Source organism: Homo sapiens, chromosome 2 (assembly GCF_000001405.40).
Source record: "Homo sapiens chromosome 2, GRCh38.p14 Primary Assembly".
In the NCBI taxonomy this organism is placed as follows: domain Eukaryota; kingdom Metazoa; phylum Chordata; class Mammalia; order Primates; family Hominidae; genus Homo; species Homo sapiens.
Window position 1 is genome coordinate 15,857,788 of NC_000002.12, and position 13,056 is coordinate 15,870,843.

General features: G+C 38.5%; 2 pseudogenes; both read left to right on the forward strand.

Annotated features, from left to right (window-relative positions):
- On the forward strand, positions 7,148 to 7,264 carry RNU5E-7P (RNA, U5E small nuclear 7, pseudogene; annotated as a pseudogene).
- On the forward strand, positions 12,023 to 12,493 carry RPLP1P5 (ribosomal protein lateral stalk subunit P1 pseudogene 5; annotated as a pseudogene).

The following is a 13,056-nucleotide window of genomic DNA, read 5'->3' on the forward strand; positions in this document are numbered from 1 at the left end:
ACTGAAGGTGTCATCTGGTATGCTCTAAAAAAATGAGAATAAACCAACATTTATTGAACCTTGTCCTAGGAACCTATATCTTCTTAACCCTCAAAGCAACTCTATAAAGAACATACATTTGCTGCCATTTCGTAGATAAGAAAACTGACCCAGGGAGACTAAAAAGTTGCCTAAAGTATATAGAAATATAATTGATTTTTACATATTGATCTTGTATCCTACAACCTTGCAAAACTCACTTATGAATTCTAGTAGTTGTTTTGTAGGTTTCATTGGCTTTGCTAATAAATTATCATGTTGTCTGCAAATTAAGAAAGTTTTGCTCTTTCTTTTCTATCTCAATGTTTTTTTCTTTTCTTGCCTCACTGCACTAGCTATAAACTACAATGTACAATGTACAATGCTGAATAGAAGTTTGAGAGGGGGTTTCCCTGTCTTAGTGATGGTTGCAGGGGAAAAATACCCAGTCTCTCACCATCAAGTACAATGTGAGCTGGTGGTATTTTCTAGATGCCCTTTGTCAGGTTGAGGAAGTTCTCTTCTATTCCTCATTCACTGAGAGCACAGTTAGAAAGGGCAAGTGTAGGATTTGAACTCAGTCTCTAAGACATGAAAGCCTGGGTGATTAGCCCTTCCAGCAGCAAGAATGAGTACTCTTTCTTCATCTGTTGGCAGCTCATTTTACAAAAAGCCACTTTCCTGCCTCCCTGAAAATATTTTTTTAAGCTAGGCAATGGGAGGGAACAGATTTCTCAAAGGCTGTTTCATCAGAAACTTGATGAACGTTCTGTGTTGCTCTCATGTACAGGTTCTTATTTCTCATCAGCTAGACTCTTCATTAATTTCATGTAAGTGGTGTAATTAAAGTAACTGTTAATTGGAGTATTACTGAGGTGCCATTATGGTATGTGACAAGCTTTAATTAGCGTGTGGTCTGGCACTCGATGTTCTCAACGAATCGCTCAGAAACAGAGATTGTTCTCTCAAGAGCGGCACTTGATCTGAACAGAAAGGTAATGCAATCTTAAGGTAATGGGGGGAAAAAAGGAGAGAGAGAGAGAAATAACCTCTAGTGTTTTTATGTTATAAAAGTGGAACTCTTCACTGTCCCAGCTAACAGCACCGTCACAGTGAAATGAACAGTACTGGAGACCACATGCTGGAACTGAAGAATGATGTACAAAGAAACCACCTCCCATTGTTTCAGCACAGACATGTCCTTAGCCAATGTGGCTGCTCTATAAACCAGGTGACCTCTAAAAGCACAGTGACCTCACTATTTCCTCTGCCTGGAATGTCTTGGGAAACTCCTATCCACACTGGGATCCAGGAGTCACCTTATTCATTCTTTCTTATATCAACACGCCTTCTCTCCATCCAATAAGTATTTTCTGAGCACACACTATGTGTCTAAGAGTCTAAGGCTATTAGAAGAAGATGTGATATGGCCCCATCCTTGAGAGGCTCGCAGGGTTCCATGACAGTGTGTTCATGCAGCAGCAATGCTTGCTCCCACCAGGCACTTTCATATGGTGGTAACTGCCTCTCTACCATCAGTATCCCCCATGGATGCTGCAGGGATGTCTTATTCTACTTTGTACCCCTGGGTCTCAAACACCTGGTACAACACCTGAAACATTAATTAACAAGCTGTCAATATGAATCATTCCATTTTCATTCACGACATAAAAATGCATAAAGCAGTGTGGTGGAAAAAAATATTGTTTTAGAATTGAAATGCTTGCTAGCTGGGTAAATATGAATCAATCAGTTGTGTCTTTTTGAGCCTCAATTTTACTCATCTTCAAAATAGGAATTTAAAAAAAAATCACGCAGTTTTGAGATTTATGTGAGGCTCAAATGATACACTTTATACAATTACACATGTTTAACTGAAAAGTGCTCATAAAGTTAATTATTAATAAGTGAGTCTATTAGTTATTAATAAAAAATTTTACCCTGATTCAATTTAAGATTATATCTCAGGTTGAGCTCAGTCACTCACATCTGTAATCCCAGCACTTTGGGAGGCTAAGGCAGGCAGATCACTTGAGGCCAGGAGTTTGAGACCAACCTGGCTAACATATTGAAACCCCATCTCTACTAAAAATACAAAAATTAGCCTGGTGTGATGGTGCACGCCTGTAATCCTAGCTATACGGGAGGCTGAGACAGGAGAATTGCTTGAACCTGGGAGGTGGAGGTTTCAGTGAGCCAAGATCACGCCACTGCACTCCAGCCTGGGTGACAGAGTGAGACTCTGTCTCAAAAAAAAAAAAAAAAAAAAAAGATTACATCTCAAACTTCCAAAGAACATTATTGCCTCTTCTATTCTGAAATTTTTCTAAGAAATCAATTCCCATAACTCAGGAGCTCTTCTTGTAGCTAACACCCTTGTTGGTCAGAAAGAAAAGCTTTAAGATAAAGATTTCCTACAACAAATTCCCTATGGATTTCTATGAAATACAAACTCATAGGTTGTGTTTGTTTAGTTGTTTTAATCAATTCAGATCAGCATTTGGATTAAATGTGCATCAATCTATTGTTTCTACTGCAAAACCAATACAAATAAATCACAATCTATTTAACTACCTAGCTTACAAAATTTCAATTTTAATTTTGTTAAGAAAACATTAACTGAGTTTGTGCCAAGCATTGCACACTAGGTGCTGAGGGTACAATAGTAAGAGAGACATGGCTGGTTTATCAATTAGCCTGCTAAATTGCAACACTATGGCCAGTGGCCAGAAGTCCCACTTTCATGGTAAAATATTGGGAATGAACAGTAAGTTAATGGCAACAAAAAATTAGAGAGGCATTTTCCAGATAGGATGCAATCTAGAAGATTCTTTCTCTCACTTAGAGTCACAAATACCCAATTGTATAATGTTTCACAATCCTTGCAGATTTTGGGGTACTTAGACTATCCACAGTCAAAGCAATGGAAAAAAAGAGCTGCTATACTCTATTGTTTGGGTAGAACACAACTACTCTTCAGAGATTGATCTTAGAGCATTTGCAAATGGAGAGACTGAGAGCACTCCACAGGGAGCTTGTCAGCACTGACACTGGGAAGCTATTGGACTGAAAATGATGAAAAAATATTGTCCAAAGAGAGGAAGAGATAAGCCCCAGGGCTGCCAAGTTGCACAACTTGATTGGGCACCATTCACATTATAGACTCCAGGGGACGCCATTCATACAAACATCAACTTTGCCAGGCAGTGATTCTAGTTTTGGATAAGGACTTTACCCAGTAAAGATAGGATCAGTACTTAACATCAGAACTATTTCACAGTATATACATATACTATTAGCAAATCTGTACATAATTCAATCTGTAAACTAAACCAAGTGGTTGAGTACCAAGTTAAACCCTCAGATACCACCAAAGACAGAAACCTGAACTGGATAGGCATGTAGTTGGATTTCCTCGTTGGGTAGGTCAGTGATCGAGGTCTCATTGAGTTGGTGAAACCAGGCTTAGGTCAGCCAAAATTTACCCTGTGAAACCATTAGAAAAGCAAGCATGGTGTCTTCCCATGTAATTCATGACAATTCTGAATTTGTACATTAAGAGGTTACATATTAGAATACTTGGCACTTTGTCCAATAGTTTCCAAAAAAAAGAAAGAAGCATAGAATTCTGATCAAAAGATTAGTGCTAAGACTTTTATTTGGCTATCAAATTATTCTAAGCCAAGACAAGAGAATTCTATAAATATATTTTATTATGGCAGCCTCTCTCTGACCCTCAGAAACTTCTCTCAATGAACATCATTATTCAAGGCTGCAATTGTCAAACTGCGCATGCACAGATAATAGCTCTTCATTCATTGTATAACTCTCGGTGAGGAAACAGTCTCCATTTCTTTCTTTAAAAGCGCTACGAGCTAGAAAAAAGTGATTGAAGACTGTATCTTTTAAGTTCTCTCTAAAGGGGCATGATTTTCCTGAAGCATTTTCCTTAACCCTGTAACAATCCAGTGTTGCTTCTGCCCAGGTGAGTCTTTCAAACCTTTTTTACTAGGCAGGTATTCTAACATTTTACTTTAGATATAAATCGACAAAATAAATATACATATACCCAAAATAAAATTTCAGTTTAGCCTCTAGTACTCCATTGAGAAAGGCAGGATTGGACTTTATCGATTCTTTTTAAAAAATGGTTATGCCATAATTCCAATGGGACCTTTTTTGTATTAGTTGGGTCCAGATTCCTCCAATCTATTATTCTTGTAATAAATGGAGTCCAAAGTTCTCACTGCAGGAAAAAAAAATAGTTATGCAATGTTTTTTAGATACCACATAATGTTCCAGGTGCTGGAGATTCAGCACTGAGTAAAGAAACAAAGTTTCTGTATTTGTGAAATTTACATTCTAGTAGAGAAAGCAGAATGGACAAATAAATACATTTTAATGTGTCAAGTGATGAAGGGCTACAGGGAAAAACAGAGCAGGGTGAGGTGATAGTGACAGATTTTTTTTTTTTTTTTTTTTTGAGACAGAGTTTCACTTTGTTGCCTAGGCTGGAGTGCATGGGGCAATCTTGGCTCACTGCAACCTCCGCCTCCTGGGTTCAAGTGATTCTCCTGCCTCAGCGTCCAGAGTGGCTGAGATTACAGGTTCCTGCCCCCAAGCCCAGCTAATTTTTGTATTTTTAGTAGAGACAGGGTTTTACCGTGTTGGCTGGGCTGGCCTCGAACTCCTGACCTCAGGTGATTCACCTACCTTGGCCTCCCAAAGTGCTGGGATTACCGGCGTGAGCTACCGAGCCCAGCCCAACAGAATGTTTTTAAAAGCATGTTTTTGGTGTTTGAGGCTTCACGAGCTGTGGGGCATCACAATTAAGAAGATCCTCTAGCTGCCATGAGGAGGATGAATTGGAAGGAGCCAGCATGGCTGAAGGAGGTAGAGGTTTTAGGAGTCTGTTGTAGTTGCATGGGCAATTAGTTCCTGGAGGATGTTCGCTGCCAACATGGAGCCAGTGCTGAAAAAGGAAGACATCAGGAGCTCTAACACAGATGACGGGAATCCCCAGGATGACATGGAGAGCAACCAGTCCAGATTGTAGCAAGTCAGATGTTCTGGGGAAGGGCTGCTTCATAAGGATGAACAACTTGAGAGAGATTTAGACAATCAGCAACGAGTCTGGAGTTGAATTGGTGATAAACACATGAAAACTAAGCCAATGGGACAATTAAACAATATTATATGAGAAAGGAAAAGTATTGAAAGGTTACTACATGGCTCAATTGTGCAGTTTCCACATAATCTCAATAATGTAAGTTGAATATTGAGCTAGACAAAATTATGGCATAACTATATTGGAAAGATGGGGGGAAGAAAAGAATATGTGTGTGCACAGGAAAGAGCTAAACCCTCGTCCTCCATGGTGGGAAGTCAGAGGGTAATACTAAACCAAAGTTCACCAAAAAGCATGTCATCTACAGTCGAAGAGGTAAACTTAAAAAAAAAAAAAAAAGAAAAGCTAAAAGAGGTGCCTCCAAGCACTCTGAGAGTAGTGTCTGCTTTTCTTATCTTTTTAAAAATAACACAATTATAGAATTGTTTGATTCTTAAATCTATGTGCTTGTATGTATAACTTTAATAAAAATAAAAACAAACAATTAAAAAAAGCATTTTTTTAAATGAAAGGACAGAGAGAAAATATTTGCAGTGGATATAGTTAATGAAGGACTTATATTTAGACTATATAAAGAAGTTTACAACTCAATAAGAGGACAAGCAACCCAATTTTAAAACTGGCAAAAGATTTAACAGACGCTTTAAAGAGAAATTACATGAGTGGCCAATGAACACATAAAAAGATGTTCAACATCTTTAGTCATGGGGAAATGCAAATTAAAACTATAATGAAATACTACTACAGAACAAGTGGAATGGGTAAAAGGTTTTTAAAAAAGACTTACAATACCAAGCATTGGCAAAGATGTGAAGCAACAAAATTTCTATATATTGCTGGTGAGAGTATAAAACGGGACAAACGCTTTGGAAAATAGTTTGGCTTTATACAATTAAACATAAACTTTCCTTATCACTCATCAATTCCACTCCTAGGTAATTACCTAATTACCCAGAAAGAATAAAAACACATGTCCCCAGAAAATATTTGTGTGCAATATTCATAGTAGCTTTATTCATAATAATTAAAATCTGTGGGAAAAGCCCATAATGTTTATTAATACTAAGTGAATAAACAAATTGTGTTATGTTCATACAATCAAAAGAACTACTGATACTCGCAACAACATGAATAAATCTCAAAATTATTCTGCTGAGAAGAAAAGAAACCTGACACAGAAGAGTGCATACTGAGTGATATCGTGTGTGTGAAGAAGTTCTAGGGCAGGTAAAGCTAATATATAATGATAGAAACCAGATCAGTGGTGACCTGGGGAGAAAGTGCTGGCTGGTATTGACTGCAAAAGAAATAAATGATGGATATACTCTGTACGTTTTATAGTCCATATAAAATAGGATGTACTCTATATAAGTAAATTGATAGAAACGTGTATGTCCATTGCATATACATATATGGAGTAGATGGAATATAGATGGATACTTCATCTCATATATGGATATACAGTTGACACTTGAATTGTGTGGGTCCACTTATAAACAGATTTTCTTCTGCCTCTGCCACCCCTGAGACAGCAAGTTCAGCCCTTCCTCTTCCCCTTCAGCCTACTCAACATGAAGACAATGAGGATGAAGGCTTTTGTGATGATCCACTTCCGCTGAATGATAGTAAATATATTTTCTCTTCCTTATGGTTTTCTTAATAACATTTTCTTTTGTCTGCTTACTTTAATGTTATAATACAGTATATAATACATATAACATGCAAAATTTGTGTTGTTTATATTATTTGTCAAAGCTTCTGGTCAACAGTAGGCTGTTAGTATTTAAGTTTTGGGGAAGACAAAAGTTATATATGGATTTTCAACCTCATTGGAGGGTTGACACCTCTGACCCCCATGCGGTTCAAGGGTCAACTGTACTCTCTATTTTAATTGGGATAATGGTTACAGATGTGTATGTATTTGTCAAAACTGACCAAATTGTTCACTTAAAATATATGCATTTTATTGTTTGCAAATTATACTGTAATAAAAGTCAAACAATGCTCTAGTTTCTCTTCAGATCATATAAATCTTTTGCCTTTTACTAAAGAGTCCCATGGAGAGGAACACCTCAGACTTTTTAAACTAATTTTTTGAGGTCTCGCTTTAGCAGGGCTAATGATTAAAAAAAAAAGTCAAACACATTATTGAAAGAAGCAAGTTAAAATTGAAGTTAAAAACTGAATATGTGGGCTGGGCATGGTGGCTCACACCTGTAATCCCAGCGCTTTGGGAGGCCAAGGAGGGCAGACCACTTGAGGTTAGGAGTTCGAGACCAGCCTGGCCAACATGCTGAAACCCCCTCTCTACTAAAATTACAAAAATTAGCTGGGCATGGTGGCTCACACTTGCAATCCCAGCTACTCTGGAGGCTGAGGCATGCGAATCTCTTGAACCTGGGAGGCGGAGGTTGCAGTGAGCCAGTATGGTGCCACTGCACTCCAGCCTGGGCGACAGAGTGACTCTGTCTCAAAAAAAAGAAAAAGAAAAGAAATCAGCCAGGCATAGTCCCAGCTACCAGGGAGGTTGAGGCAAGAGAATTGCTTGAACCCAGGAGGCGGAGGTTGCGGTGAGCTGAGACTCTGTCTCAAAACACACACATACACACATACATATACACACACACACACACACACACACACACACACACACACACACACACCCTGAATGGGTGGGTTTAAATGAAGATTAAATCCAAGAGGGAAAATAGGTAAATTGGAATATCAAGAAATGATCTAGAGTGCAGCACAGAAACAAAGAAAGAAAGGCTAAAAGATGTGAAAAAGTGGGTGAGAAGGACTAAAACATGCTCAGACTGGAGTTCCGTTAGGACAGGAGTGAGAAAATGCCCTAACTGACGCCACAGGAGCAGCAGAGACGCATCCTCACTGGACCTCACCCAAATCGCAAATTCATGAGCAAAACAAATCATTGTTGTTTTAGGCCACTAAGTTTAGGTAGTTTTTTATGAAGCAGTAGATAACTGGAATAAGTTGTGATACCAGGAGTGTGATGTCGCCATATTAAAACACACACACACACACACTCACACACATACAACCTAAAAATGTAACATTGGCTTTGGGACCAGATGGTGAGTGGAAGCCAAAAGGGCTTGCAGAGGCTGCTGGTGAGGACTTAAAAGAAATGCAAGAGAGGCTTATTGGAATCTAGAAAAAAGACTCTTGGGTCCAGTAACATAAAGTTTAACAACATTATCACCTGTAATAACATATAAATAGAAAATATACCATGAGTTTGGTTTAATTCTGCACATTGTACTCATAAATCATAACACTACTCTGTACCCCATAAGTATATACAATTATAAACTGACAATTTACATTAAAAAAAAAATTAGAACTAAGTAAAATGGTATGAATAAAAAAATAAAATAAAATGTACCTATTTACCTAATCAACTGATTATCTAGCTAAGAAAATTTCCAGGCAGAGTGCTGCTGCCTGGTTTCTCCAAGTAGTCTATAAAAAATGAGAGAGCAGAGAGATAAAGTAATGAATAACTTTAAAATATAAAAAAGGCTACTCAAGTGAATTAAAACATCCATGCAAAAACCTGCACACGCATGTTTATAGCAGCTTTATTCATAATTGCCAAAACTTGAAAGCAACTGAGATGTCCTTTAAAAGGTAAATGGATAAATAAACCAGTACATAGATAAAATAGCTATTATTCAACAATAAAAAGAAATGAGCCATCAAGCCATGAAAAGATATGATGGAATCTTAAATGCATATTGCTAATTGAAAGAAGCAAACTTGAAAAGGCTACATACTGTATGATTCCAACTATATGTCATTCTGCAAAAGGCAAAACTGTGGAGACAGTAAAAAGATGAATGGTTGCCAGGGGTTTGGGAGGAGGAAGAGATGAATAGGTGGACTACAGGGGAGTCTTCGGGCAGTGAAACTATTCTCTGGTACTATAATAATGAATGGATGCTATTCTACACTTAAAACCCAGAGAATGTATAACACAAAGAGTGAACCCTAATGTAAAACACGAACTTTGGTTGATAATGTGTCAATGCTGGCTCATTAACTGTAGCAAATGCACCACACTGATTGGGATGTTGATGGTGGGAAGGTTGTGTATATGTGGTCAGGGAGGAGTATGTGGGAACTCTCTGTATTTTCCATTTAATTTTGCTCTGAATCCAAAACTGCTCTAAAAAAATAAATTCTAGTTTAAAAAAAATCGGGGGGCAGGACTTACTATGTTTGGAAATAAAAATGTTTCTCATTCCAGCCTCTCTATTATAAATGATATAAATGATTCTCTAATTAAGAATGGCTTTCAGGCAAACAGCAAATTCAGAGCACCGTCACAAGAATATGGTGTAAAGATGAAGCCAAGGATTTAACTCTAAAACCTTTGTTAAAACCTCAGTTAGATTTAAGGTGGTGCACCATAGACCCTTTCAAACACACCAAAGGCCCTTTTAAGGGTCTTCATACTGTGCCTCACTGGCCTTCTCTGTTAAACAACTGGGCTTCTGAAAATTTCACAAGGAGCTCAAAGTAGAGATGATCTCTATGAAATCTGTGGGCATGGCTTTTGTCTAAAGGAGTGAATTTATAAACTGATTCATAAGAAGTCCACAAAGTTTTAAAGGAATTTCATCAGTTTGGACTAAAAGAGACAGCGAGAGTACAAAATACAAAGAAATCTTTGAACTTCTGAACTGCTATTCTTAGAAAACAGGCAGAGAAAACCACTCAACATCAACATCTGTTTGCTGGCCCTGAGCCATCCTAGCTATTCTTTCCTGAGCTGCCTCTGTGCCTCTGAGGCACGCTGTCCCCTCAGACACCTATCCAAACTGCAGACTTGTTTGGATGACAAAATAGATGGTGCTATTGTTTTCAGCCACTAAGTTTGGGGGCAGTTTGTTATGCAGTAGTAGAAAACTGATATTGGGGCCAGGTGCGGTGGCTCACACCTTTAATCCTAACACTTTGGGAGCCCAGAGTGGACGGAGCACACAAGGTCAGGAGTTCAATGGAGACCATCCTGGCCAACATGGCAAAACCCCGTCTCTACTGAAAATGCAAAAATTAGCCAGGTGTGGTGGCGGATGCCTGTAATCCTAACTACTCGGGAGGCTGAGGCAAGAGAATCACTTGAACCCAGGAGGCAGGGGTTGAAGTGAGCTGAGATCATGCCACTGCACTCCAGCCTGGGCCACAGAGAGAGACTCCATCTGAAAAAAAAAAAAAAAAAAAAAGAATAAATAAAAAGAAAACTCATATTGGTTTTCCAGAATTGATGAAAGATATCAATCCAGAAGATTCCAGAAGCCCAGTGAATCCCAAGCAGGAAAACTAAATGAAATAAATAACAAAATACATGATAATTAAACTAGAGAACATCAAAGAAAAAGAGATCTTAAGATACAGTCAGGAAAAATTGTTAACAATGGCTAAACCTTGGGATAAGTGTCATCATGTTCACTGTTCTGTTCTTTTAACTTTTTTTAGTGTTTGAAAATATTCATACATACATACATACAGCCAAAATGTTGTAGTAGGTGAACCAAAAAGAAAAGAGATGACTTCACAAGAGAGAAAATGAAATTGGCACCTGACCTCACAACAGGAACAACGAAAGCCAAAGGGCAGAGGAATAAAATTGTGCTAAGATAAAGAATTAATGTGTTAAGAAGTTTACATAAATAAAAATGAAATGGGTGAATGTCTTTATAGCTTCTGGGTAGGGAAAGATTTCTCAATGAGATTAAAAAAGCATTATCTGTAATGAAAAAATGATCAATATGAAAGTATTAAAACACTTCAGTTCAAAAGGCATCATTAATAGGAAAATCCCCTGCCTGGGTGGCATGGTGAAACCATGTCTCCACAAAAAATACAAAAAAATTAGCTGGTCCTGGTGGCTATAGTTCCCAACTACCCGGAGGCTGAGGTGGGAGAATCACATGAGCCCGAGGAGGTTGAGGCTGCAGTGAGCCATGATCATGCCACTACACTCCAGCCTGGGCAACAGAGTGAGATTGTATCAAAAAATAAAAATAAAAAGGAAAATATAAGCCAAGAAATGAGAGAAAATTGCAGTATATATAACCAACAAAGGGCTTTTATCCAAAATATTAGAAAAAGAGAACTTCATATCAATGAGATAGACAACCTAGTGTATTAGTCCATTTTCATACTGCTATAAGGAACTGCCCAAGACTGGGTAATTTATAAAAGAAAGAGGTTTAATTGACTCACAGTTCAGCATGGCTGGGGAGGCCTCAGGAAACTTACAATCATGACGGAAGGCGAAGGGGAAGCAAGGCACCTTCTTCGCAAGGTGGAAGGAAGGAGAAGTGCCAAGTGAAGGGGGAAGCCCTTTATAAAAATATCAGCTCTTCTGAAAACTTACTATCATGAGAGCAGCATGGGGGAAACTGCCACCATGATTCAATTACCTTCACTTGGTCTCTCCCTTGACATGTGGGGATTATGGGGATTATCATTCAAAATGAGATTGGGTGAGGACACAATGCCTAACCATATCACCTAGTTAAAAAAAAAATAGGCAAAGACCATAACAGATATTACATAGAAGGAAAAACACAAATGTAGAGATTTTCAATCTCATTCATCATCAAGATTTTGCGACCATTCCAATTTAATATTTTCCCATTAAACTGGAAAAAAAAAAAGTCTGACAAGAACAAGTATTAGAGAGGGCATGTGGCAAGAAAAACACTCACACATTGCTGGTGGGAACGTAAACACATACAACACTTTGGAAAACAATTTGGCATTACCAACGACAGCTGAAAACACATATCTTATGTAAGACCCTGCAAATCCATTCCTGGATGTATACTCTAAAAAAAATTCTTGCCTTTCCTCAGCTGCCATCAAGGTGCTCAGTCCTTCCGAGGAAGCTAAAGCCGTGTTAGGGTGAGGTCCTCACTTCATCCGGCGACTAGCACCGTGTTCAGCAGCACCAGCCCCACACTCGCCCCCACCATGGCCTCCATCTCCCGGCTTACCTGCATCTCCTCGGACCTCATTCTGCACAACGATGAAGTGACCGTCACGGAGGATAAGATCGATGCCCTCATTAAAGCAGGCGGTGTAAATGTTGAACTGTTTTGGCCTAGCTTGTTGGCAAAGGCCCTGGCCAGCGTCAACATTGGGAGCCTCATCTGCAATGTAGGAGCTGGTGGACCTGCTCCAGTAGCTGGTGCTGCTCCAGCTGAGGAAGAAAGTGGAAGCAAAGAAAGAAGAATCCGAGGATCTGATGATGACATGGGCTTTGGGTTTTTGACTAAACCTCTTTCATAATGTGGTCAATAAAAAGCTGAACTTAAAATAAATTTAATTTAAAAATTAAAAAAATCTTGCATATATACACAAGACCCAGTGTAAGAATGTTCATAGGTACACTGTTTGTGATTAAAAAACCGAGAACAACAAAAATATCCATAAACAATGGAATGGATTAAAGATGTCATACATTCATACAATGCACTTCCATGTAACAATGAAAATTAATGAAACCCTGTGAAATGCAATAGAACAGATGAATTTTAAAAGCATACTGAGTGAAAAAAAAAGACTTGAAGTGCATAGATAGTATGATTGCTTTAATACAATGTTTAGTCAGGCAAAACAAAGCTACATTGTGTATACACACACACACACACACACACACACACAGGTGGTAGAACTATAAAGAAACAAGGAACTGTTTACCATAAAAAGTAACCATGGATATGGTTACTTTTAGGCGTTAGGGAAGGGGGTGTAACCAGGGAGAGAGCACCCAGGGGGCTGCTAGGGCCATCCCGATGTTCTAGCTCTTGCCTGGGTGATGGGCACACAGGTGCGCACTGCAAATGTATTTATTTTGCTCTACATTGATACACTGT